The following is a 25,460-nucleotide window of genomic DNA, read 5'->3' on the forward strand; positions in this document are numbered from 1 at the left end:
AATGGAAATTTGACCCTATTTATTTTATCTGCTTGGGAAGGGGGAGGAGGAAGAAAGCAATAAAGAGCAGTCATTTCTTTAACAGCTCAGTCTCTGAATTACTCCCACTTCTCATTTCCCCTGGTAGAAAGACACTACGCCTAACTGGGTAAACCTTGCAAAGGGGACAAATAAGCCTTAGACTCACAGTAACTTTGACTTCTCTCATAGAGAAAATGTTGAGAATTAGCATTCACTGAAACCCTACTATGAACTAGACATTGTACTAGGTGCTTTAGTGATAATATTCCATTTATACAAATTGCATCCCTGTGAAACCATGTCCTCTTTAAATATGAGGAAGCTAAGGCTCAGAAAAGAGAAGTAACTTGCCCTAATTCACAAAGAGCTTACTTCTAAACTCACTTACTGCACCACCTAACACTGGAGAAGGCAGGGTGCTAAGTGGGTTCTCATCCAGATTAGTTCCACTCCCTGTGAAATATTTTGGAAAGTTGTAGAATTTATCTTCAGTTTTGTCATTTACCTATTGAAACATTATTTTCAGTTACATTTTTTAAATTTCTATTTTATATTGCAATTTATATTTTATATTTTTTGTGTGATTATGTGGCTAGTTAGGTTATATTACCTGCAAATTTCATTTTAGAATGGTAAAGGGGTATCTCAAAATATGTGTTACATAAAGGGAGGCTTTGGGCCTGAGAAGGCAGAGAACCGCTGCACTAAATCGTTATTCCCAGAATAATTGAGAATTGACACTGATTTTTCTTTAAAATGTGGGACACAAGCATTTCTCAAGTCTAAAAAGAGAAGTCATTGTTAGTGGCATATAACTGTATTAGTTTCTTAAAATAAATTAAACATATTTCTAAACAGTTAATGATGGGGCGGGGTAAGCACCAGGGAGAAGAAAGGAAATGCAAATTCATTTGTAAGGAGATATCCCTGCCTTTTCACTGGAAAGTCAATTTCCTTGATACATTAACTCCTCAATCTCAAACATTTATTTAGGGGGAGGTACCAAGTCTAGGGCCCTAGCTTCAGGGAGTGAGAGGGCAAACTGCAAAGTGAAGCTACCACTTCAATGCTAGTGCTATGCACAGAGCTAGAAATAAGAAATAATTAAGGCTTCACTTAGCCACTAGGAAAATGGGATAAAAGGTGGCTTCTCATTCTCTTGTTTCTGAATCTCATGTGGCCAAAGCCATTAGAAGGACATCCCCAGGTTATTTTATCTGAAGAGTCTCTGGAATCCTAGTATATTCTCTGGAATACGCACTCACTTGGGAATTGCCCCAGGGAAACCTGGACTTTAGGGCTACTTTAATGTAGCAAGTAGGTGCAGCTAACTCACCTATTTGGTTTTCTGTGTGATACAGAGGTACTGCTTCTTTCTCCAACTCTTTTGGAAAGAAGAGCTAAAGATAATATCAGAGATAATAAATTATCTTCCATTTTTCTTTTGTTATTTTAGGTCTAATACCTTTCAATAAGTGCCCTTCTTCAACATGTATACAATATAAGAAGAAACCACAGGATATCTTTAGAGCTAAATTGACTTCTCAAAGTTTATTTCTTTTGATCAGAAACCATGTTTTAATGGAGGGAGGAAACTTTATGGTGGGGAGCTGAGGTTTCAAATTTTATTCAGGCTGTATTTTTACTAGAAACAATATTGTTTTTTCTTTGTAGAATACTAAAAGATTAAATTTCATATTTCAATTTTTGTGAAGACTCCCAAGATCCAAATCCAACATTAAATGTGTGTGTTTGACCCCATATCCTCCTTACATTAACAATACAGCTTACACATAAGTACGAAGCAATGCACAGCCACCCACAACCAGCACAAATGATACTTGGGTCTTACAGCTACATGCTGTAGAATATTTTCAGCACATCTAAATAAGAGAGGCTATTAGAAATAAAATACGGGTCACAAGAAGTAAGGAAAATGAGATTAGTCTTTAATACGTCTCTATTTTATGCAATTATGGATTTTAGACCATTGTTCTGGGTTCCATCTTTACAGGTTAAAATCCAAGTGTTCAAAACTGAAATATAGAAACTATAATTGCTTATACATAGGAGATGTTTAGATAAATTTATTTTTCATAAAAGAAGCAGCATGGAGTAATAAATTGTCAGTTACATAAAAATCCTATCTGGGATGTTTTCAAGGGATTTTATTAGGATGGCCACATCAAAGAACACTTATTTATTATAGGTATACAATCTGCTTAGGTCCACTGGGCAGATTTTAGATAAACAATAGCAATCACAGGGTGTCCCAGTGACATCCATAGAAAGCTTTGTGGAGCCTAAGTTATCTGAATGACCTCTTCAAGGGCACCTCTTCTTACCCTAAGAATTCTCTTCTCTGAAATGGATACTCCTCGAGGCCAAAATCTACTTGGCATCAAAAGCTACTAGAGTAGATGTATTAGTCAGTTTTCGCACTGCTATAAAGAGCTTCCCTGAGACTGGGTAATTTGTAAAGGAAAGCTATTTAATTGACTCACAGTTCCATGTGGTTGGGGAGGCCTCAGGAAACTTATAATCATGGCAGAAGGTGAAGGGGAAGCAGGCACCTTCTTCACAAGGTGGCAGGAGAGAGAAGTGAGCAAAAGCAGGAAAAACTGCCTTATAAAACATCAGATCTCGTGAAAACTATCACAAGAACAGCATGGGGGAAACTGCCCCCACCTCCCTCCGTTGACACGTGGGGATTACAATCTGAGATGAGATTTGGGTAGGGACACAGAGCCAAACCGTATCAGCGGACTCCAAACCAGGTCCATTAAAAAGTCCTTTAATTTAGATCCCTATGGTGCATCAATAAAATACAATGAAAACATGAGAACTTTGTTGTTGCATTATCTCAATCCTCTCTAACCTCATCCTGGATGCCTATTAATATCTCTTGTTTTATTCTACCACCATTACTTCACACATCTAGATTATTCTTGTTTGTCACCCCTGTATTCAAACAAACTGAAGCATGAAGTTGTCCAGAATATTTACCTTGTGTCACTTATGTGACAAAGCAAGTCAGACACTGCAGAAACCTGCTAAATATCCAGTAACCTATTGATGAATTCAGAATGGCGTCTAAAAGCCCCTGGAACTTCTTGAATTGACCTTATCCATGGCAGACACAGGCTTACTTCTTTTTGGTTTCCTCCAAATGTTTCCTGTTTATTTTCAAGTTGCGAAAGCCATGCAGACTCGAGTATATGAAAGATGACCACAAAATAATGAAACCAACTGTCATGTGTGGCTCACATGTACTTAGTTCCTATAAAGGGTCATGGCTACACTTATATAAAACTTCAAACAAAATTAATCTGACAAATAGTATTTGAAACATTAGTATATTTATATCTAATCCTGTTCTAGAAAATATTTGTAATATTTGAATATATATTCAAAAACATATATTATTATAAACTATATAAATATATGTGTATGTGTGTGTGTGTGTGTGTGTGTGTATATATATATATATATGATTGAGGAAGATTGGTACACATGTGGAAGCAATAGGGACCTACACAGTTACTAAAATTTGTTCAGAAATTGGCCCTGAGTCTCCTGGAAACCAAAGCTGAAAGAGAAACATGACCACTTACAAAATTCATGTTTGCCATAAGGAAAGAGCATACCAGATCTTCCAAAATCTAATAATTTACATAATTACTCATGTACAGTATGGTAATAAGCCATAATTGGTGAGTAATATACAGAAATTGCTACAAATTATTCATTTTTTCATTCCATAAACATAATGTGTCAGGCTTCAGGGATAGTAAGAAAAAGTCCCTGACCTTGAGGAGTTTTCAGTCTAATGAATGAAGAGAGAGACATTCAAATAAACAGTTAAACCACAATATATTGACTATTAAAGAGTACCATGAATAAGATGTAGTGCCTTCATAAATGTTTCCACATAACCAAGTCAAAGTTTGATTTCTTCCTCCTACTATTTTGCGTATTTTCCAGAATTCAGGATCGATATGCAGCAATGCAGTCCTGACCTTTTCACCATGGAATCAGTAACACCATTGAGACCAGTAAGTGCACTTGTCCGAAGTACAGCCAAACTTCCTGTGTTCCTGCCTATACCCCAAGGCATCCAGCCCTCTTCCTGATCCTCTCTTCTTCCATCTTTGCCACCCTTCTTCCCTGTACTTGTCCTTGAGCAGTTATGTAATTGCTCCCTTCCCTTGGTTTAAGTGTTAAAGACCCAAGGCCAAGGAGAATCTGTGATTGGGGTTTGGAATTATTTATTGGGATTCTCAGCAGGATTCTCATGTTGAAGGGGGATAAAGGTACACTCAGGGAGGAAAAAGGACTCAACAATTTTGGCTCTGGATCCTTAGGATATGAAGTATTGAATCTAAGGGATGGAAGAGGATTCAATGAGACCAGTGCTTCTAATCCAGCCTCACAGCCAGGCATGCCAGTAGTAATTATAATAATACTAACAACAACAACAATAATATCTGTTTGATGCTTCAGAAATGATATGTGTTCAAGAGTAAATCAGGTGTGCCTCAGGTGTAAGATGATTTCAAGGCCAACAAGAAGGCTTTCTGGGCTTTCTGAATAAATCTCCACTGAGCTTCTTGACAGTGCATGCAATTCTTTTAACACAGGGACAAAGATTTTCCCCAACACAATTAGAGATAAAAAGGCTTAAAAATGTAAATGTATAGGAAAGGTGACACACTGGTATTGATTTGATTCAGTCAATGTGCAAATGATGGTATCAGAAACTTTCTCAACTCCCTCCTCTACTCAGACTCTTAAAACAAGAATTTAGTAGTTTTTGCATCTGTCCTTGCTCATGTTCCCTGGATTCCACCCTCCTCTGAACTTTGATCCATCAATGATCCCTCTGCCTTCCAATATTACTAATCTCATTCATTCAGCATCCTCATTGCTAAGCATATCCTAGACACTGGGGATGGACAAAACAGACAAAAATCCTTGCCCTAAGAGAAAAGATAAAGCAGTCAAGAGATAATTAGGGGTCAAGGGGAGAATGCTGAAATTTTAAATAGGGTGGTCAGGGAAATCTTCTATAAGAAGGTGATATTTAAACAAAAACTTGAAGGAGGTGAAGGAGCATGCATTCCAGGCAGGAGACACAAGTGCAATGGCCCTGAGGTCTGATATCCCTGGGACAGAATGTGCATGAAAGAGAGGGTCACCAAGGAAGCCAGTAAAATGAAGTCACTGAGATCTTAAAGGTCATGGCAATTGGCTTTTGCTCTGAGTGAGATGGGAAACTACTGGCGTATTTTGAGCAGAGGAGTGATATGATCTGAATTACATTTTAATAGGATCGTTCAGCCGCTGCATTGAGAACAAACTGGAGGGCACAAGGATGGAAGCAGAGAGTCCTTTTAGGAGGCTGATGCAACAAATCCGGGTAAGAAAGAAGAAAGTGGCCTGAACGAGGCCTTAGTCATTAGGGAGTTAGCAGTGGACGTGGTATGAAGTGATCAGATTCTGAACATATTTTGAAGTTGGGGCCAATAGTATTTGCTAAAAAATCAGATGTAAGGTATGAGAATAAAATAAGAGTGAAGGATAACTCAGAGGCTTTGGGCCTGAGCAACAGGAAAAATGGAGCTGCTGTTTCCTGGGATGGGGAAGATTTTGGAAGGATTAGGCACAGGGGTAGAATATCAGGAGCTCAATTTTAAATGCTAACTAGACATCCAAGTGAGATGTTAAAATAGGCAGTGGATATATAGTCTATAGTTTTGGGGAGAGGTTCAGCCTGGTATTTAAAGTCATGACACTAGGGAAAAACCACCATGGGAGGAAATATAGAGTTAAAAAGGCAAGAGGATGAACTGGTCTCTGGCACAGTCCAATTTTTAGAGGTTGTGGACGTGGAGAGGAACCTGCAAAAGAGGAGAAGGAGCAGCCAAAGAAGTAGAAAAACTAGGCAAATGTGATGTCCTAGAGGCCAAGGGAAGAGAATATGTCATGAGAAGGGACTGATGGGTCAAATGCCACAGATGGGTCATGGAAAATGAGGACTTTTCATTGACCATTGAATTTAGCCATCAGAAAGTCTTTGATGACTTTGACAGGGAAGTTACAATAGAATGGTGGGCACATTCCTACACTCCACCACTGCTCATGGAAGTTAATTCAGAAGAAGAAGAAAGATGAAAACTTGGAGACAACTAATAAAGAAACTTCTTTTGAGGTGTTTTGCTGAGAATGGAAGGGGAGAAACAGACAATGGCTTGAGAGTGAAATGGGAGTTCAAGACTTTTTGTTTTTAAAATGAAAGAAATCTTAGTGGGTTTGCATGCTGATGCAAAAGGGAAAAAAAACGGTTAAGTCAAGAGAAAAGAGAATTCTGAAGCAGTGGCCTTGAGCAGAAAGAAGTGATGGGATCAAATGAGAGGGAAGAGAAACCCCGTCTTAAAAAAAAAAAAAAAAAAAAGGTTGGGGAAGGGATTGGCTTTAGTTAGGAATATGGACAATGATCCATGTTTTCCACTCATCCTTCCTCTCAGCCTCTTTTAGCATCTTTTGGCTTCCCTGTTGCAAAACTAAGAGCAACAGGCTGTTTGCATCCCTCAAAATTCATATGTTGAAATCTAATCCTAATTTGATGGTACTTGGAGGTGTGGCTTTAGGGAGGTAATTAGGGTGATGCCTTCATGAATGGAATTAGTGCCTTTACAAAAGAGAGCCCAGAGAGATTCCCTTGCCCCCTCAACCATGTGAGAACACAGCAAAAAGTGGCCATGTATGAACCAGGAAGTGAGCCTTCACCAGACACCAAATCTGCAGCCACCCTAATCTTGGACTTCCTAGCCTGCGGGACTGTGAGAGATAAGCGTCTGTTGTTTTACAAGCCAATGGTATCCTATTAGAGCAGTGTGAACAGACTAGGGCAGTAAGCAATCTTCAGTTGCGTCTAACTATGCTCTATAGCTCTGCTTCCTTCTCTTTATAGTCTGTTGTCTTCAAAACATTGCCCACATTTGCTCTGCTCCTGTGGTTCCCTTTCGTTTGTTGGCACGAGATAGCCCAGCTTCTGCGCACCAGTGGCTCTGGAATTGCCTATTTCCAGGGACTGTTTTTTGTTTTTTTTGTTTTTTCTTTTTTTACTGAACCCTTTCTCAAGTGTCTGTGCGAAGAGACCACCAAACAGGCTTTGTGTGAGCAACAGGGCTGTTTAGCAAAGGGTGGTGGGATTATCGTTAGTTCTTACAGGTTTTGGGATAGGCGGTGGAGTTAGGAGCAATGTTTTGTGGGCAGGGGGTGGATCTCACAAAGTACATTCTCAAGGGTGAGGAGAATTACAAAGAACCTTCTTAAAGGTGGGGGAGATTACAAAGTACATTGATCAGTTAGGGTGGGGCAGAAACAAATCACAATAGTGAAATATCATCAGTTAAGGCTATTTTCACTTCTTTTGTGGATCTTCAGTTGCTTCAGGCCATCTGGATGTATATGTGCAGGTCACAGGGGATATGATGGCTTAGCTTGGGCTCAGAGGCCTGACATTCTTATCTTCTTATATTAATAAGAAAAGCAAAACAAAATAGTGAAGTGTTGGAGCAGCAAAAAATTTTGGGGGTGGTATGGAGAGATAACGAGTGATGTTTCTCAGGGCTGCTTCAAGCGGAATTAGGGGCAGTGTGGGAACCTGCAGTGGGAGAGATTCAACTGAAGAAAGATTTTGGGGTAAGGGGTGATATTGTGGGGTTGTTAGAGAAACATTGGTCTTATAGAATGATTGGTGATGGCCTGGATACAGTTTTGTATGAATTGAGAAACTAAATGGAATACACAAGGTCTGAATAAAAGAAGGAGAAAAATGGGTATTAAAGGACTAAGAATTGGGAGGACCCAGGACATCCAAGTAGAGAGTGCCCAAAGGGGTTCCGCGTAATTACTTGCTTGGTTGGTGAGTTTTTGAGCTCTATCCTTGACAGAGTCCTCTTTTTTAGGTTGGAGGCTGAGCTTGGTGAGGTTTGTTTTTAAAAGACCATTAGTCCGTTCTATGTTTCCTGAAGATTGAGGACAGTAAGGGGTATGAAGGTTTCACTGAATACCAAGAGCCTGACAAACTTCTTGGGTGATTTGACTGGTAAAGGCTGGTCCGTTATCAGGTTATATAGAGGTGGGAAGGCCAAACCGAGGAATTATGTCTGACAGAAGGGAAGAAATGACTGCAGTGGCCTTCTCAGACCCTGTGGGAAAGGCCTTTACCCACCCAGTGAAAGTATCTACCCAGACCAAGAGATATTTTAGTTTCCTGACTCTAGGCATGTGAGTAAAGTCAATTTGCCAGTCCTGGGCAGGGGCAAATCCCTGAGCTTGATGTGTAGGGAAGGGAGGAGGCCTGAATAATCCCTGAGGAGTGGTAGAATAGCAGATGGAACACTGAGAAGTGATTTCCTTGAGGATAGATTTCCACGATGGAAAGGAAATGAGAGGTTGTAAGAGGTGGGCTAGCAGCTTGTAACCTACATGGAAGAGGTTATGAAATGGCGACAGAATTAGAATGGGCCTGTGAGACTGGAAGGAGATATTTTCCTTGGTCCATGAACCATTTGCCTTGTGTTCAGTTGGGGAGTAGGTGGGAGTGACCAGATGAGAAGGAGAAAAACTGCCATGAGGGATAGAAGTTGGAATGCTAGCTGCTTTTTTAGCTACTTTATCAGCATAAGCATTGCCCTAAGCGATGGGAGCTGATGCCTTTTGATGGCCCTTGTAGTGTATGACTCCAGCTTCCTTTGGAAGTAAAGTGGCCTTGAGAAGAGTTTTTATTAAAGAGGCATTAATGATGGAGGAGGACCCTTGCACAGTGAGGAAACCTCTTTCAGCCCATATAACATCATGCTGGTGCAGGATATGGAAGGCATATTTACAGTCAGCATAAATATTGACATGCAATTCCTTTGCAAGAGTGAGGGCTCGAGTTAAGGCAATGAGTTTGGCTTGCTGAGAGGTAGTAGAGGGGGGACAGAGCAGTAGCCTCAATGATAGATGTGGAAGGTACTATAGCATAGCCTGCCTTTACTTATGAGTGGCGATTAGGCCTGGTAGAACTGCCGTCAATAATCCAAGTGTGATCACGGTGAGGAACAGGAAAGAAGGAAATATGGGGAAATGGAGTGAATGTCAGGTGTATCAGAGAGATACAGTCATGGGGGTCAGGTGTGGTATCAGGAATAATGTGGGAGTACGGATTGAAGTCCAGGGAAGGAACAATGGTAACTGTGGGAGACTCAACAAAGAGTGAATACAGCTGAAGGAGCCGGGAAGCAGAAATTATATGTGTCAGGTGTGAGTAAGAAAATAGATTTTGGAAGTTATGAGAACTGTAGAGAGTGAGTTGAGCACAGTTTGTGATTTGGGGGGCCTCTAAAACTATTAGGGCAGCAGCAGGTGCTACACGGAGACACAAGGGCTATGCTAAAACATTAAGGTCAAGTTGTTTGGACAGAAAGGCTACAGGGCGCAGTCCCGGTCTTTGTGTAAGAATTCCGAGTGCATAGCCCTGCACTTCAGCTATGCGTAATGAAAATGGTTAGGATGAGTTAGGGAGAACTAGTGTGGGGGCAGCTTCTAGGGCTGTTTTTAAGGAATGGAAAGAGGAGTGGCAAAAGGATTTAGGATCTATGGGGTCAATTAGGTTTGCTTTTGTGAGTTTATACAATGGACTAGTCAGGATGGTAAAACTAGGTATCCAAAGGCAGAAGTACCTAACCATGCTTAGGAAGGAAAGGAGTTGTTGTTTTGTAGAAGAGGTTGGGGTTTGGGAGATTAGCCAGACACGATCAGCGGGGAGAGCATGTGTGTTTTCATGAAGAATTATGCCGAGATAGGTAACAGATGAGGAAGAAATTTGGGCTTGACTGAAGTAATGGGGGCTGTCCGCAAAGTCTTGTGGCAGTACAGCCCAGGTAATTTGCTGAGCTTGATGGGTGTCAGGGCCAGTCCAAGTGAAAGCGAAGAGAGGCTGGGATAAAAGGTGCAAAGGAATAGTAAAGAAAGCATGTTTGAGATCCAGAACAGAATTATGGGTTATGGAGGGTTGTGGAGGGAAGGTATTGAGGATGGAAGAGTATATGGCTTTGGCACCACAGGGTGGATAGGCAAGACAATTTGGTTGATAAAGCACAGATCCTGAACTAGCCTGTAAGACTTGTCCGGTTTTTGGACAGGTAAAATGGGGGAATTGTAAGGAGAGTTTACAGGCTTTAAAAGGCCATGCTGTAACAGGCAAGTGATAACAGGCTTTAATCCTTTTAAAGCATGCTGTGGGATGGGATATTGGCACTGACTGGGGTAAGGGTGATTAGGTTTTAATGGGATGGTAAGGGGTGCATCATCCATCACCAAGGAGGGAGTAGAGGTGTCCTATACTTGTGGATTAAGGTGGGGAGATACAAGGAGAGGATGTGAAGGAGGCTTTGAACTGGGGGAAAAGGTGGCAATGAGGTATGGCTGTAGCCCAGGATAGTCAGGGAAGCAGATAATTTAGTTAAAATGTCTAGACCTTATAAGGGAGATAGGCAGGTGGGGATAACTAAAAAGGAGTGCATAAAAGAATATTGTCCAAGTTGGCATCATTTGGGGAGTTTTAAGGGGTCTGGAAGCCTGGCCATCAGTACCCACAACAGTTATGGAGGCAAGGGAAACAGGTCCTTGAAAAGAAGGTAATGTGGAGTAGCCTCTATATTGATTAAGAAGGGGATGGACTTACCCTCCCCTGTGAGAGTTACCCGAAGCTCAGTGTCCGTGATGGTCTAGGGGGCTTCCAAGGCAATTGGGCTGCATCAGTCCTCAGCCGCTAAGACGAGAAGATCTGGGAAGGAGTCAGTCAGAGAGGCTTGGGCCAGAGTTCCAGGGACCCTGGGAGTGGCTGCCAGGTGAGATGAACAGTCTGATTTCCAGTGGGGTGCCACACAGATGGGACATGGCTTAAGAGGAATCCTGGGCTGCAGGCATTCCTTGGCCCAGTGGCCAGATTTCTGGCACTTGGAGCAAGATCCTGGGGCAGGCGGTCCTGGAGGAATCCCTGGCTGCTGCGGTTCAGGTGTTTGGAGTTCTTGTGTGCTGGAGATGTGGCTGGGGTTTGTCTCACAGAGGAGGCAAGGAATTGCAACTCAGAAATACGTTGCTACTTGGCTGCCTCTACTCTATTATTGTACACCTTGAAGGTGAGGTGAATTAGGTCCTGTTGTAGGGTTTGAGGGCCAGAAACTAATTTTTGGAGCTTTTTCTAATATCGGGAGTGGATTGGGTAATAAAATGCATATTGAGAATAATCTGGCCTTCTGGCCTCTCTGGGTCTAGGACAGTAAAGCGTCTAAGGGCTGTTGCCAAACAGGCCATAAACTGGGCTGGGTTTTTATATTTGATGAAAAAGAGCCTAAATGCTAGCTGACTGGGGAGAGGTCGGATAAAGAAAAAAGCAGCATTAACTTTGACTATGCCTTTAGCTCCAGCCACCTCTTTAAGCGGAAATTGTTGGGCAGGTGGGGGAGGGCTAGTCATGGAACGAAACTGTAAGCCAGACCAGGTGTGAGGAGGGGAGGTGATAGAAAGATTATAGGGTCGGGGAGCAGAGGCTGAGGAAGAATTGAGACCTGGCTCGGCCTGGCGAGGAGCAGCCTGGGGTGAAGGGGAGATGTCAGATGAGTCTGTAGAAAAGGATTCAAGGACTCAGAGCTTGGGGTGAAGACTGAAGGAACAGACAGGAGAGAAAGACAGTGCCATTCTCTTGTCACTTGGAACTACTGTCAAGTTGGTATTGGGGCCAAGCGGTATTGCAGAAGAAAATAAGGCATTTAAATTTTAGGGCAGGTGTGAGTTGAAGAGGTTTTAAGTTCTTGAGAACACAGGCTAAGGGAGAAGAAGGAGGAATGGAGGGTGGAAGTTTGCCCATAGTGAAGGAGGCAAGTTTAAAGAGAAGGGTAGAGACACAGAGAAGGGGGGTGGGGAGCAGCCCTGGACTGCAATGTGGGTGAGCAGCCAAAGCAGGCATCCCTGCAATTGACTTGCCACCAAGGGAACATGGGTGAATGACCAAGGCAGGCATCCCCGTGGAGATCAGACACCAATCGAATGTGGGTGAATAATCAGACACGCATCCCCACAATGATTAAACACCAAGGGAAGGCTGTCTTCCCAAGTCCGTGACTGGCACCAGAGTTTTGGGTCCATGGATAAAATGTGTTTCCTTTGTCTCTACTAGAGAGGAAAAAGAACTGGAATTGGAAGGACAGGGAGATTGAAGGGTAGCAAGAGAGGCTGGAGAAGAGAGTGAAAAGACCGCTTACGTGATTTGAAATTGGTGAGATGTTCCTTGGGCTGTTAGGTCTGAGGACCCGAGGTCATAGGTGGATCTCTTCACAGAGTGAGGGTGAGGACAGGGGACTGGTCTCCCAAAGGAGTCCCTCTGACCCGGGTCTTTGGCACCAAATGTCTCACACATCTGTGTGAAGAGACAACAAAACAGGCTTTATGTGAGCAACAAGGCTGTTTATTTCACCTGGGTGCAGGCAGGCTGAGTCTAAAAAAGGAGTCAGCAAAGGGTGATGGGATTATCATTAGTTCTTACAGGTTTTGGGTAGGCGGTGGAGTTAGGAGCAATGTTTTGTGCACAGGGGGTGGATCTCACAAAGTACATTCTCAAGGGTGGGGAGAATTACAAAGAATCTTCTTAAGGGTGGGGGAGATTACAAAGTACATTGATCAGTTAGGGTGGGGCAGAAACAAATCACAATGGTGGAATGTCATCAGTTAAGGCTATTTTCACTTCTTTTGTGGATCTTTAGTTGTTTCAGGCCATCTGGATGTACATGTGCAGGTCACAGGGGATATGATGGCTTAGCTTGGGCTCAGAGGCCTGACAAACCCCTCTGACTATTGACTGCTTTCCTTTCTAGAAACCCTTTACCCTTTACTATATCGTGTACCTCTATCCCTGGGCTGGACTTCTGGTCCATTCCCTGGACTCCTGTTCCTCTGCCTGACACTTCAAATGTTGGTGCTTGTTGGGTTTTCTCAGCCTTTTTTTCATTTGACAAAGGAATATCACTTATCCAATGCCAGCAGGGACTCCAGAATTTTCATACAGGAAGAGATAGGTGATTTGTCTTGATGCTGAGTTTGCTGAGTAGGCTAACTTCTTCTACTTACATTCTCTATGTTTGGAGCAGCTTGTTAAGTGGTGATGTAGATTACAGGGGGACTTAATCCTCCCCCATCTCATCACCCCTTGTTTCTCTGCTGCCAGAGCTTCAACTGCCACCTACATGTGGGGTTGTTTTACCCAATAAGTACTAAAGGCACAGTATCTTTTCAAAGTAAAAGAAAATATTTAAGAAAAGAAAGAAAGGAAGGAGGAAAAGAAAGACAAAAGCAAGGAAGGAGGAAAGGAGAGAGAAGAGAAAGAGGAAAACTGCAAAATGAAATTAATAGATGTTTAATCAACTGCCTACAATTCATATCAAATGTCAGCTTGACTCGTGTATGATTATCTGATATATTGTATATAACATATTTCAGTATATTTTTATATGATGTATGGAAGAGCTTCCAAAAGTAACCATGATTAGAGCCTATCAAACACTTATTTACTGAAAATCCAAGCTAAAACTTCTTCCTGAGCTCTGTACTCTTCTTTACAATTGCCTACTACACACAGTCACCTCAATGACCACAGGAATCTCAAACACAACACATCCCTAAATAAAATCATCTTTCTTCTCAAATGTCCTCTAGAGTTTATGCAGTAAAAATGGAATAAGCTTGAGCATCAGCCAGTTTTTTAGGTTCAAATTTCAACTCTTTGAGTTAGCCATTTTGTGGGAAATAAGAATTTTAAATGGGACTTTGTCATTTACTAATAATTACATTTCGGGAAGGCAAGGGAAAGAGTCCTTACCAACCAGAGATGTAAGCACTCAAAGGCAGTAAACCCTGGTAGGGGCTGTGACAGAAGCTTGTCAGGATATAGTGAGGAACAAGAAAAGGAGGAGTCAAGAATGTATTCGGTGAGGTGGAGAGACTTCTCACAGACAGTAATAGTAGAGCTTTATCTAGAATAAGAATGACTTAAGTAGCCCAGGGCATGGCTAGGAGTGGAGGAGAGAGGAGCATTAGCAAGAATTAGCATGGTCACCTGAGACCACCAACAGGTTTCAGAGCACAACAGAGGAGTTTGGGAGAGGAGCTTGCATCTGATCAGGGATAATGCAGGACCTCGCTTACCCAGAGCCAGAATTTATCCTGAGGCTACAAGTGAGTCACAGAGAACTTAAGCAGGGGACTTATATGATTGGATTTGCATTTGAGAAACATAACTTTGGTAGCCACAAGGGGGATAAATTAAGACCAGACTGGAGGTGGAGAGAATCCTAATAGACAACTGTGAACATTCTAAGCAGGAGCAATGAGTTAATTAAGACAGAGCAGTGAGAAGGAAAGAAAGGGAAAGTTTTAGGAGGGTGTTAAAGGGTAATTCTGACAGTTGTGACTGATGAGGGACTAGAGGAAGCTGGAGAACAGGACTTCTGGGTCCCTGGCTCAGAGGCTCATCCGATTATTAAGAGGACAAAATGAAATACTATATGCCTGGTATATGGTAGAAGCTCAAATTATATTATTTCCCTTCCCTGTTCTCTCTTATTACTGGCACCGTCACTTACTCAGTAACTGAGGCCAGAAATGTGGCAGTAATTCTTATCTCTAGTGCCCTTTATCCTCCACACCCAGAGCTGATGACACTGAGTGAGGCGAGGGGAAGACAGAGACCAGAAAAGGGAAACAGTCCTCAAGGAGTTCACAGTTTCCCTCTGGCCTGAGTGTTTGTTGTTGTTTGTTTGTTGAAGGAGTGGGCAGACAGGAGCCCAGGTTTAAGGTATTTTGTGGCTTGCCCACCTTGGGGGCTTGCATAGCGATGAATGCTAGGTATACTCCTGCCCCACCCACTGCAATGCCAGCTTCTTCCCCATCCAGCTGATTCTCTTCCCAATTTCCCAGCTCCAGTCTGGCTTCTAAATTATCAGGTGCTTGGCTAGTGGCTGAATCTAAAAACATGTCTGAAAAGACCATCCCCTCCCCAAGGGAAATGGTTAACCAGATTTTAAACCAAGCTAAATAAAGTTTGGGGTCATTTTTTGAGGAGGAAGCGTTTTATTTGTATAAGTAGTAAGGGCTGGAAAAGGCAAAACTATGGGGACAGAAAAGAGATTCACTGTTGCTAGGGACTGAAGGTGGAGGGAAGACAACCCAAGAGAACTTTGCAGGGGGGTGATAGAAATGTTCTAGAACTTGATTGTGGGGGTGGTTACTAGACTGCCATTTTTTTTTCAAAAGGCATGAAACTACACTAAAAAGCATAAATTTGACTCCATGTAAATTACACCTCAATAAGCCTGACTTTAAATTTAAAAAAAATGAAGGAACAAATAAATAAATTCCTAAGCAGATAGTAAGGGCTCAGTAAATGTTTGCTAAAGTGATAGTGATGGGTAGTGATAAGGTATCCGGCTGTCAAAGCTGCAGATTTTACTCCTTCCCTGAATATTTGCATTTTAGTAGAGGATTCTTAAAGCTGGAAAAAGCCTTTAAGGCTCAAAGAAGTTTGTCTCTAATAGGATGCATTTTTTTTTTCAAATGCAAAGTATTTTATTGCAAGCCAGAGGGGGAGTTCTAGATGAAAAGAAAGGCTTGCAGGAGAGCTGGGAGGCCGGGAGTAAGGAGACTTTACCTGTCTCTAAATTCGCAAACCTCTGAAAGGAGGGTATGCATTTTAAGTAGAGGCACTCTCCTCTGCCTTTTATCCACCATTTCCATCACAAGCTTTTCCTGGATTATTATCCTGGCCCACGATATTGGATTCTTATTGGAAAAACAATTGGTGTTGATGGACAGAGACAGAAGAGTACTACATCTACATTCAGCTTGGAAAAGAGAATGAGTGAATTAGTGCTCGGCAGCTACAACAGGGGCTATTTAAAGCCAACCCATGCTAAAATCTGTTTCTACCCCACCCCATGTGGACCAAGCCAAATGCCGGCCTTGACCTACCAACCTTTTCCTCTCCTGTTCATTTGCCAGTCAGGTACCAGAGGATTAGAAGTGATTTTAGCTTCGTTTTGGCAGTCACATCTTGCTGATAACCAGGGAACTGCCTGCATCTTTGAAACGGATATTCTCTCCTGTGTTTCTTTAAAAATCGCTCTCCGATCTTGTAATACCAAAGCACCTCGATTTTCTTTTTAATTCAAACTCCCCCATCTGACAGGACAAGGATTCTCTTTTACAGGACACTCAGGGAACTAATTTCTTTCTAAGCCATTCAAAGCCCAAAATGTCGAATTCTTGATTTTTCTTCTGTCACCCTGGACAGGTTTTCCTGTTTCATTTCACCAGAGTGCATGTGAGCACCTGTTTGAACCTATATGATAGCATCTGTTATCCTTGGCAGCAAGAAGTGGAGGAGTCGGGAGTGTGGGAAGAGTCTCTTTCCACTGCTTGCCCCTGGCACCCCACCCTGGGGGAGGAGTGGCGGGGGTCCTGCTTTTTCCTTAGATTAAGTTCATCAGTATTGCCAAAACTGTCCATTCCTCACCCTTCCCTGGGTGGTAGTTCAGGAGAAGGGGGCATTTGACTGCTGGGCTGGAGAGGAGGTGCCCGGTGACAGGAACAGTGGTGGCCTCCTCTCCTTGTCCATCAACAGCAGCTCCCACAACCCCCAATCAACTGCCCCAAGACAGTTATCACCTGGCTCTGTCCACCTCTGTGCTCAAACTGCTGCTCCATCATTGAACTCTCCCTGTCTCACAACCCTTGATCTGGTGCCTCCAGCTCTGTTTCCCTGGCACAGCCCTCTGGGGCTTTCTGAGCCCCTACCCCCTCCCTACCCTCACCAATAACAAAACACAAGACTCAGCCTGTTAATTGCTTCCTTCCTAACAAGAAGTTAGCTTGTTGGCTACACCTGCTGACATTGTTCTAACTTATGCCTGCAGAGTTGATGAAAGGGCTCTACTCCTTTTGAAGTTCAGTAAGAGCTAACTTTTATTGAGTGCTGACTATGGGGTCAGCCAGGGTGCTAACCTTGGTTATGTCAGTTAATCCACATATGGAAACTAAGGAGCAGAAAGGTAGCAGCTGTGATTGACACCTGTGCTTGACCCATAACCATAACTACATTAAATTTTGCCCTAAACAGGTCACTAGTCCTCCCTGCCCTCCCTGCCCCAATTCCCAGGCTATTCTATTTGGAATTAAGCAGGATCCAATGATGAGGGACATCAAAGGCATTTTACTAGTCTGAAGGATTTAGGGAACTCTTCTAGAAAGTTCTGTCATCTGCCTAATCAAGTGATTGTATGGACCTACAAAATCAAAGAAATAAAAATGCCTAGGAAGAGGTCCAGGGCAGGTTACAGACTGTGGAGCACCACTGCTAGATTCCTTTATTTTTATTCTTTAAATTTAGTAAAGACCAGGCACGGTGACTCATGCCTGTAATCCTGACACTTTGAGAGGCTGAGGCAGGAGGATTGCTTAAGCTCAGGAGTTTGAGACCAGCCTGGATAGCATAGTGAGACACTGTATCTACAAAAAAATACAAAAATTAGCTGAGCATTTTAGCACATGCCTGTAGTCCCAGTTACTCTGGAGGCTGAGGTGGGAGGATTACCTGAGCCCAAAAGTACAGGGCTGCAGTGAGCAGAGATACCACCACTGCACTTCAGCCTGGGCAACAGAGTGACACCCTGTCTCAAGTATTTATTTATTTATATTTTGAGATGGAGTTTTGCTCCTATTGCACAGGCTGGAGTTCAATGGTGCAATCTCGGCTCACTGCAACCTCCGCCTCCCGGGTTCAAGCGATTCTCCTGTCTCAGCCTCCCAAGTCGCTGGGATTACAGGCATGCGCCACCACATCCAGCTAATTTTGTATTTTTAGTAGAGACAGGGTTTCAACATGTTGGTCAGGCTGGCCTTGAACTTCTGAACTTGTGATCAGCCCACCTCGGCCTCCCAAAGTGCTGGGATTACAGGCATGAGCCACTGTGCCCGGCCTCAAATATTTTTAAAAATTAAGTTAAATTAAGTTAGTAAAAATATAATGCTTTCAATATGCCATCATAAGGTAATCAATTGCCAGTATAATAACTCTAAATATTGTGCTAGGCATTTCTAAGGTTGTAATTTTTTCTTGTAAAATTCACATATCCTTACTGCAGCAAATTTTTAAAATACAAAATAATTAAAACAAAAATATGTCTTACATATATTCCCATCACCCATAGGTAGCCTCAATTAACATATTGGTGGATTTCCTTCCAGCCTCCTTTCTATATAAATATGTACGTATTTTCGTAGTAGGGATGTCCATGATATACAAATATTTATACCTGAGTTTTCACTAAATATTATGTTAGCCAGCATGTTTCCATGTAATTAAATTTTTTGAAAATGTCATTTTTAATAGCAGTAAATTATTTAATAAGCAAGAATTTATTTAACCATCTCTCCAATGTTAGACCTTTGCATTTTCCCCAAGTTTTCACTATTACAAGAAATGCCATCTCTCTCATTATTTCCTCAAGATTGTTTACTAGAAATGGAATCACTATGTCAAAAAGAACCTTTAAAAATTGCAGCCGGGCACGGTGGCTCATGCCTGTAATCGCGGCACTTTGGGAGGCCAAGGAGGGCAGATCACTTGAGGTCAGGAGTTTGAGACCAGCCTGGCCAACATGGTGAAACCCCACCTTTACTAAAAATACAAAAATTAGCCGGGTGTGGTGGCGTGCACCAGTCATCCCAGCTACTCAGGAGGCTGAGGCAGAAGAATCACTTGAACCTGGGAGGCAGAGGTTGCAGTGAGATGAGATCGTGCCACTGCACTCCAGCCTGGGCAACAGAGTGAGACTCCGTCTCAAAAAAAAAACAACAAAAAAAAAAACCAAACCTTTAAAAATTGTAAAAGCAGCTGGGCGCGTTGCCTCACGCCTGTAATCTCTGCACTTTGGGAGGCTGAAGTGGGCAGATCATAAGGTCAGGAGTTCGAGACCAGCCTGACCAACATGGTGAGACCCCGTCTCTACTAAAAATACAAAAATTGGCCGGGCGCGGTGGCTCACGCCTGTAATCCCAGCACTTTGGGAGGCCGAGGCAGGCAAATCACGAGGTCAGGAGATCGAGACCATCCTGGCTAACACAGTGAAACCTCGTCTCTACTAAAAATACAAAAAATTAGCCGGGCATGGTGGCGGGCCCCTGTAGCCCCGCTACTCCAGAGGCTGAGATAGGAGAATGGCGTGAACCAGGGAGGCAGAGCTTTCAGTGAGCCAAGATCGCGCCACTGCAGTCCAGCCTGGGCAACAGAGCGAGGGACTCCGTCTCAAAAAAAAAAAAAAAAAAAAAAATACAAAAATTAGCCGGGCGTGGTGGTGTGCACCTGTAATCCCAGCTACTCCGGAGGCTGAGGCAGGAGAATTGCTTGAACCCAGGAGGCAGATGTTGCAGTGAGCCGAGATTGCGCCATTACACTCCAGCCTGGGCAACAGAGTGAGACTCTGTCTCAAAAAAAAAAAAAAAAAAATTGTAAAAGCGTTTTTTCCCTGTATACAATACAATGGTTCTAAGTATGAGTATAGTTCTTTATATGACTGGCCAAAGAAAATGTTGAGCTTATGCCAAATATCTCCTTGTTACCTTCTTATAGCTAAAGGCCTCTTGGTAAAATTATCACATTGACTCTGATGAACAAATCTTAAAAAAAAAAGAAAGAAAAGAAAAGAAAAGAAAAAAGAAAACAGCTGGAAATCATTTCCACCTTTACATGGTATTAGGTGTTTGAAGGCTTCAGAAAACCTTGAGAAAATTTGTTACGATTGAAGACAAGGTCTTCAGGAATAGAAAAAGAAAGATTTTTCCCTAAAATGAGGAATTTCATAATAATAAAAAATGAAAGCAAGAGAATGTTGAATTTGAAGTGAATGTGAAACTTGAAGAGATTCTTGAATGCTTGACTCATTGCTTTCTAAAAGCCTTTAAAGATGTCAGCTTCCTGAGGTTTTTATGTTCTCTGCTGCGTTTAGCAGACCAGGTTAATTGTGGATGGTACAGACTGTCAGGAAGAACACAGTGCTTTGATGAGTTACTACACTTAAGCTTCAATGGTGTGGGAGCCAATTATCTGCTCCCTAACCTGTGTAGACACTTACTTTCTTTCCTTTTCCTAATAGTTACCCAGATTTATGATCATTTAACATCTCCTTAGGACCTAGTGCAAATGTGGGCAGATGACATGAAAGAATATCAACCTCAGATCTATCGATTTTGTTACAGTCAACCCTAAATGGAGCAGATTATCCGTACAACATGGGCAATACTGATGAGTAGCACCTACTCCCCTGAAGGAACACAGCTGGATGCTGCAGAGACCAATCAACTGAGACAGCTGCCAGCCGGCCCCAGGATGCTGTGAGAAGACTGCATCAGAGAAGGTGCTGTATCAGCCGCTGACATGGGAAGCAGTGGCTATACTCACAATATACCTCAGACTTAGGTCGTGTATTCTACAAATTTCAAAGAGCCTTTACATCCATACGATCATTTAAACCGCCAAACACTATAAAGATATAATCACCCATGACCCACAGACAGAGGCACAGACCCTAGAGAGGTTAAATGCTTTGCCCAGTATTGCGAAGCCTGTGAGCAGCAAGATGAACTATCAAAGCCAGGTATTCTAATTGCAATACTTGTGTTAAAGCAAACTAAATATGGCCTGAGAAGGACTCTGTACTTCTATATTTGAGTCCTTGTGGATGAACTGCAACCTAACAGGTAGACAAGTTAGGGTATTGAAACCCTAACTTAGAGGTATGCTCCTGTAATAATCGCTGAGTCTTGGCCAATCCCAGCAGCCATACTTCAACCACTCCTACACTGCTGAGTGTTCAAACTGTGTTCAAATAAGGCAAATGCATAGCTGTAACCAATCCAGCTGTTTCTGCACCTCACCTCTGATTTCTGTATGTCACTTTCCTTTTTTTGTCTATAAATTTGTTCTGACCACGAGTCATCCCTGGAGTCTCTCTGAATCTGCTGTGATTCTGGGGGCTACCCGATTCACAAATCGTTCATTGCTCAGTTTAACTCCTTTAAATTTAATTTGCCTGACGTTTTTCTTTTAATACTTGTGAACTTTCACATTGCTAGCTTACAACAAAATTTTACTCAGTATTACTGTGGGCCAGATCTTTCACTAGATAAAAGAGGATTGAAAGAAAAAAGGCATAGATCTTTTTTTTTTTCAAGGAGCTCAAGACCTATAAAGGGGGACAGACAGAAACTGAGGCTATAATCCTAAATGATGAAGCCATAACTGAGGCAAATGGTAGGAAGGCACTCTGGACTTCAAGTGTGGACAAACTGTTTTCTAAGGAAGCAGCCACCTGTATAGTGGTAAGAAAAGATTTTAGACTTATCATGTCTTCTCCTTTTCAACTCTTGCCTCAAACTCTTTACAGACTAATTCTTTTAACAATACAAGATACGGGGTTAAGAACTTGGGCTTCAGCTCACACAGTTCTGGGTTTAAAACCTGTCTCTGCCTCTTACAAGCTCTTTGAGCTAGAGCAAGGTGACTTTGAGCAAGTGGCCACATTAAGATCCAGTACACTCCTCTGTCCAGTGAGAATGGTAATAATAGTATTTGCCATTTAAGGTGGCTGTGAGGGCTAAATGAGAAGATGTGTTCAAAGTGCTTAATGCCTCACCAGGTGTACAGTAAGGGCTCAATAAACATTGGCATGATGATGAGGAGGAGGAGGATGATGATGATGATAATTAGATACCTTGATTACTGGAGAAGAGAAAGGAGAATGGAGAGGAGGAAGGGAAGAACTTGAGTGATAGGGGCTTAAGAGAATTTTTACTTAATTCATATCTTGCATTCCAGCTAGAAATCAAGGAATCTGCAGCAAGCTGGGCAGCCACAGGTTAGGAAGATGAGGGTAGAGCATTGGGGTTCCTTAAAAGGCAGCAAAGCTGGATACCTGAAGTATAATGGTTTATGAGACAAGTGCAAATTTCCCTACCAGGAAATGATGTGTTACCAAACAGCCCAGTCACTCTGCCTCTGTCACCAGAAGAGTCCAGCACATTCTAAAGCTTCTACCAGACCCATCAGCCCTTCTCTGGCCCACTCACAGCCCCTCAGGGATTCCTGTTCTAGCCTGAAATCCCCACATGAGTCTTAGGCCATGTCTCCTTTCCCAGCATACCCAATCCAAGATCTGACTTCCCAGCTCTAGAATTCTGGTTCTCTACATATCACTCCACTGTGGCATAATTCAGCATTAAAGAGGATGGCCCTGGACTCCCTGATTTCAAATCCAGGCTCTGCTACTTACTAGATGTTTAACTATGGCCAAATTCCTGATCCCGTGTACCTCAGTTGCCCCCATCTATAAAATGGGGACAATATTATCGATGACCTAGGGTTTTGTGAAGTTTAGCTGAGTGCTTAGAATTGTGGCTGGCACCGAATTTAAGTGCTCAGTGAATGTTAACTGTTATGATTTTTTCCCCTCCTTGGAAAATTCCAGTTCTGGTAAATGATAAGTAGGGAAACATATGACAATAGTTACATAAAATATGGAATTATTTGTATATTTCAATTGTCAGTTTTAATTACATATTGTTTCACGCATGGATGATTGAGAGTTCTATCTTGGGACTTTTTCATTTGAACTGGTTCACAAAGATGATATAAATGATGCTGGAATGTCCATGAATAAAGAAGGGACATAGTAAATATTAATGACACTGGAGTCTGGCTGTCAACTTTTCTGAACATTTCCAAAATCCTAAAAGTTAAAAATTTCCCAAAAAGGTTTTTGTGTGTCTATGTGCCCCTAACATCTTTCAGAATTCCACATGAAAGCATCTAGATGAGATAAACATAGACAAGGATTTACCCAGTAGGAGCAGAATTACAATCGCTGAGTCTCCAAGAAGTGCTGCTGTCTTTGCTCTTGCCCAAACAGCCCCTTGGCTACTTATGTACAGTAGAAAGCTGATTCCATTTTCTTATAGTTATAAAACTTACATAAGATCATTGTAAAAAAAAATTAAAATGAAGACAATAATAATCTGTAATTACAATTCTTGGGAATGTAGGTTTAGCGCATTTTATATGATCAGCCAGTTCTTTCTCTGTGCATTAAACATATGACCAGAAAGGACCAGAGTAGGAATGACACGCTTGTGACTTGATCAAAGGCAAATTTACTGGGAAGCTAAAAAACCTTAAGCTTTAGGGCCTCTCCTTTCCACAGGTGTTTTCCAAGGCCTTGGCAATCTGTTCATATGGTAATACATTTGTATAAATTGTATAAATCTTAGGCTTCTTAAATCCTGGTTCCATCCCAGGTGCTGCTGGCTGCAGTCTTTCCTGCCCCATGCCATTCTGTCCCACTGAGCGAGCCCAGACCCAGACTCTGTTCACTCTGAGCTTCTAGCAGCCACTACCAATCAAACAGAGCAGGCATCCACTGAAATCTACTTGTCATCTTTCCAATTCCTTTTGCCCTAAGTTGGGATTGATGCAGGGCCTGAGAACTGCCAGCAGGTATAGGTTATAAGGCTTGGAGAAAAGAGAACTGTGGCAGGGGAAAGGTGGAATACAGGGATGACTAAGACACTCCTTGACCAGCTTTGGTCAGGCTCCTCTGAGGCTACTTCTCAACATGCTCCAACCTTCAGACTCCTGTGTCCATCTTTACAATGCCAAGACTTAACAAAAAAAAATTCTGTTAGGTGAGTTTAGCAAGAATCCCCATCTTTGATATCTAATAATTCCTTATCCTCACTCTTAGAATCTGATCTCTCCAGCCTGCCTTCAATAAGAATACTACCATCAGTTTAGCTAAAATCCCCCTTACCCCTGATATTTCCTCTTAGTAATTTTTCCATCCACTGGTCCCCACCCTTGTCCTTGGCTATAAATCCCTACTTGTCCACACTGTATTTGGAATTGAGCTCAGTTCAATAGTGAGCCTCTTTTCCTCTATTGCAATATTTGGTTTTTTAAAAATAAAATTTATCTTTAATTAGATCCCAGAGTTGATTCTCTTTAACAAAGGGCAGGCAGGACATGATACCCACCAGAATTCTAGAAATGCTTGGTTTGCTGTGACAAAACAGACTCATATGTGGGACTGAATACCACTTATACCCAATTATCATCCAGCACGATATGGTTTGGCTGTGTCTCTACCCAAATCTCATCTTGAATTGTAGCTCCCATAATTCCAATATGTTGCAGGAGGGACCTGGTAGGAGATACTTGAATCATGGGAGCAGTTTCCCCCACACTATTCTTGTGGTAGTGAATAAGTCTCATGAGATCTGATGGGTTTATAAGGGGAAACTCCTTTCACTTGGCTCTCATTTTCTCTGTTGTCTGCTGCCATGTAAGATGTGCCTTTCACCTTCTGCCATGATTGTGAGGCCTCCTCAGCCATGTGGAACTGTGAGTCCATTAAACCTCTTTTTCTTTATAAATTACCCAGTCTCAGGTACATCTTTATCAGCAATGTGAAAATGGACTAATACACAGCACAATGACAATTACATATATTACTATTAAATGTGTTCAGTTAACTTTGAGGACAACCCTAAACTCAGTTGAGGTGAGAGCCCTCTTCAGAGTCTTGCTCACCCACTTTGGTAATCCAATTGTAACTTTAAAAATAGAGAATGCTGCTTTCAAGCCACTCGTTTGAAAGTAAGCTGTGTTACTACAGTGTCACAGTTCCCACATAGTACTGGAAGTGATTCATTTTCTTGTTAACTTGTGCTATATATACTCCAGAAAAATGAGTTGGCATTTCTAAGAATACTTGTTAGAAAAGAACAGAAGTTTTTCTTTCTCTTCCTGTCATCTGAAACTCTTAAATCATAGACAGTGCAATGTGTAGGAAGCTAAAATACGTACTCAAGCTCAGAAGCACCTGCCATAGCAGGGTTTGTCTTTTTTTTTTTCTTCGTGGTATCAGATAGTTTCTCTAACTCTGAAGAAATTTTCTCTAGAAAAATATAACAGTGTTAGGGCCGGGTGCAGTGTCTCACGCTTGTAATCCCAGTACTTTAGGAGACCGAGGCGGGCAGATCACCTGAGGTCAGGAGTTCGAGATTAGCCTGGGTAACATGGTAAAACCCCGTCTCTACTAAAAATACAAAAATTAGCCAGGAGTGCTGGTGCATGCCTGTAATCCCAGCTACTCGGGAGGCTGAGCAGGAGAATCACTTGAACCTGGGAGGTGGAGGTTGCAGTGAGTCAAGATCACGCTATTGTACTCCAGCTTGGGCAACAGGAATGAATGTCCGTCACACACACACACACACACACACACACA

The 25,460-nt window shown here is 42.2% G+C and overlaps 1 long non-coding RNA gene across 1 annotated transcript in view, besides 4 other annotated features; it reads left to right on the forward strand.

Annotated features, from left to right (window-relative positions):
- Window positions 1-5,378: 5,378 nt before the first annotated feature.
- Window positions 5,379-25,460, forward strand: part of LOC107984559 (uncharacterized) — a 32,511-nt gene continuing 12,429 nt past the window's right edge. Inside the window, exons 1-2 of the long non-coding RNA XR_001749987.2 lie at window positions 5,379-5,440; window positions 20,380-20,537. This is a non-coding gene — a long non-coding RNA (uncharacterized LOC107984559). The remainder of the gene's footprint in view (window positions 5,441-20,379; window positions 20,538-25,460) is intronic.
- Window positions 13,909-14,631: an enhancer, noted in NCBI's record as "OCT4-NANOG-H3K27ac hESC enhancer chr13:49447591-49448313 (GRCh37/hg19 assembly coordinates)". NCBI's record gives its function as "activates a minimal SCP1, AML or CMV promoter by ChIP-STARR-seq in primed H9 embryonic stem cells {active_cell/tissue: H9 hESC(primed)}" and the evidence as "EXISTENCE:reporter gene assay evidence [ECO:0000049][PMID:30033119]".
- Window positions 15,448-15,956: an enhancer, noted in NCBI's record as "NANOG-H3K27ac hESC enhancer chr13:49449130-49449638 (GRCh37/hg19 assembly coordinates)". NCBI's record gives its function as "activates a minimal SCP1, AML or CMV promoter by ChIP-STARR-seq in naive H9 embryonic stem cells {active_cell/tissue: H9 hESC(naive)}" and the evidence as "EXISTENCE:reporter gene assay evidence [ECO:0000049][PMID:30033119]".
- Window positions 15,957-16,465: an enhancer, noted in NCBI's record as "NANOG-H3K27ac-H3K4me1 hESC enhancer chr13:49449639-49450147 (GRCh37/hg19 assembly coordinates)". NCBI's record gives its function as "activates a minimal SCP1, AML or CMV promoter by ChIP-STARR-seq in naive H9 embryonic stem cells {active_cell/tissue: H9 hESC(naive)}" and the evidence as "EXISTENCE:reporter gene assay evidence [ECO:0000049][PMID:30033119]".
- Window positions 24,856-25,095: an enhancer, noted in NCBI's record as "active region_7737". NCBI's record gives its function as "activates an Ori minimal core promoter by ATAC-STARR-seq in GM12878 lymphoblastoid cells {active_cell/tissue: GM12878}" and the evidence as "EXISTENCE:reporter gene assay evidence [ECO:0000049][PMID:35858748]".

The sequence above is a fragment of the Homo sapiens genome, chromosome 13 (genome assembly GCF_000001405.40).
Source record: "Homo sapiens chromosome 13, GRCh38.p14 Primary Assembly".
Taxonomy (NCBI): Eukaryota; Metazoa; Chordata; class Mammalia; order Primates; family Hominidae; genus Homo; species Homo sapiens.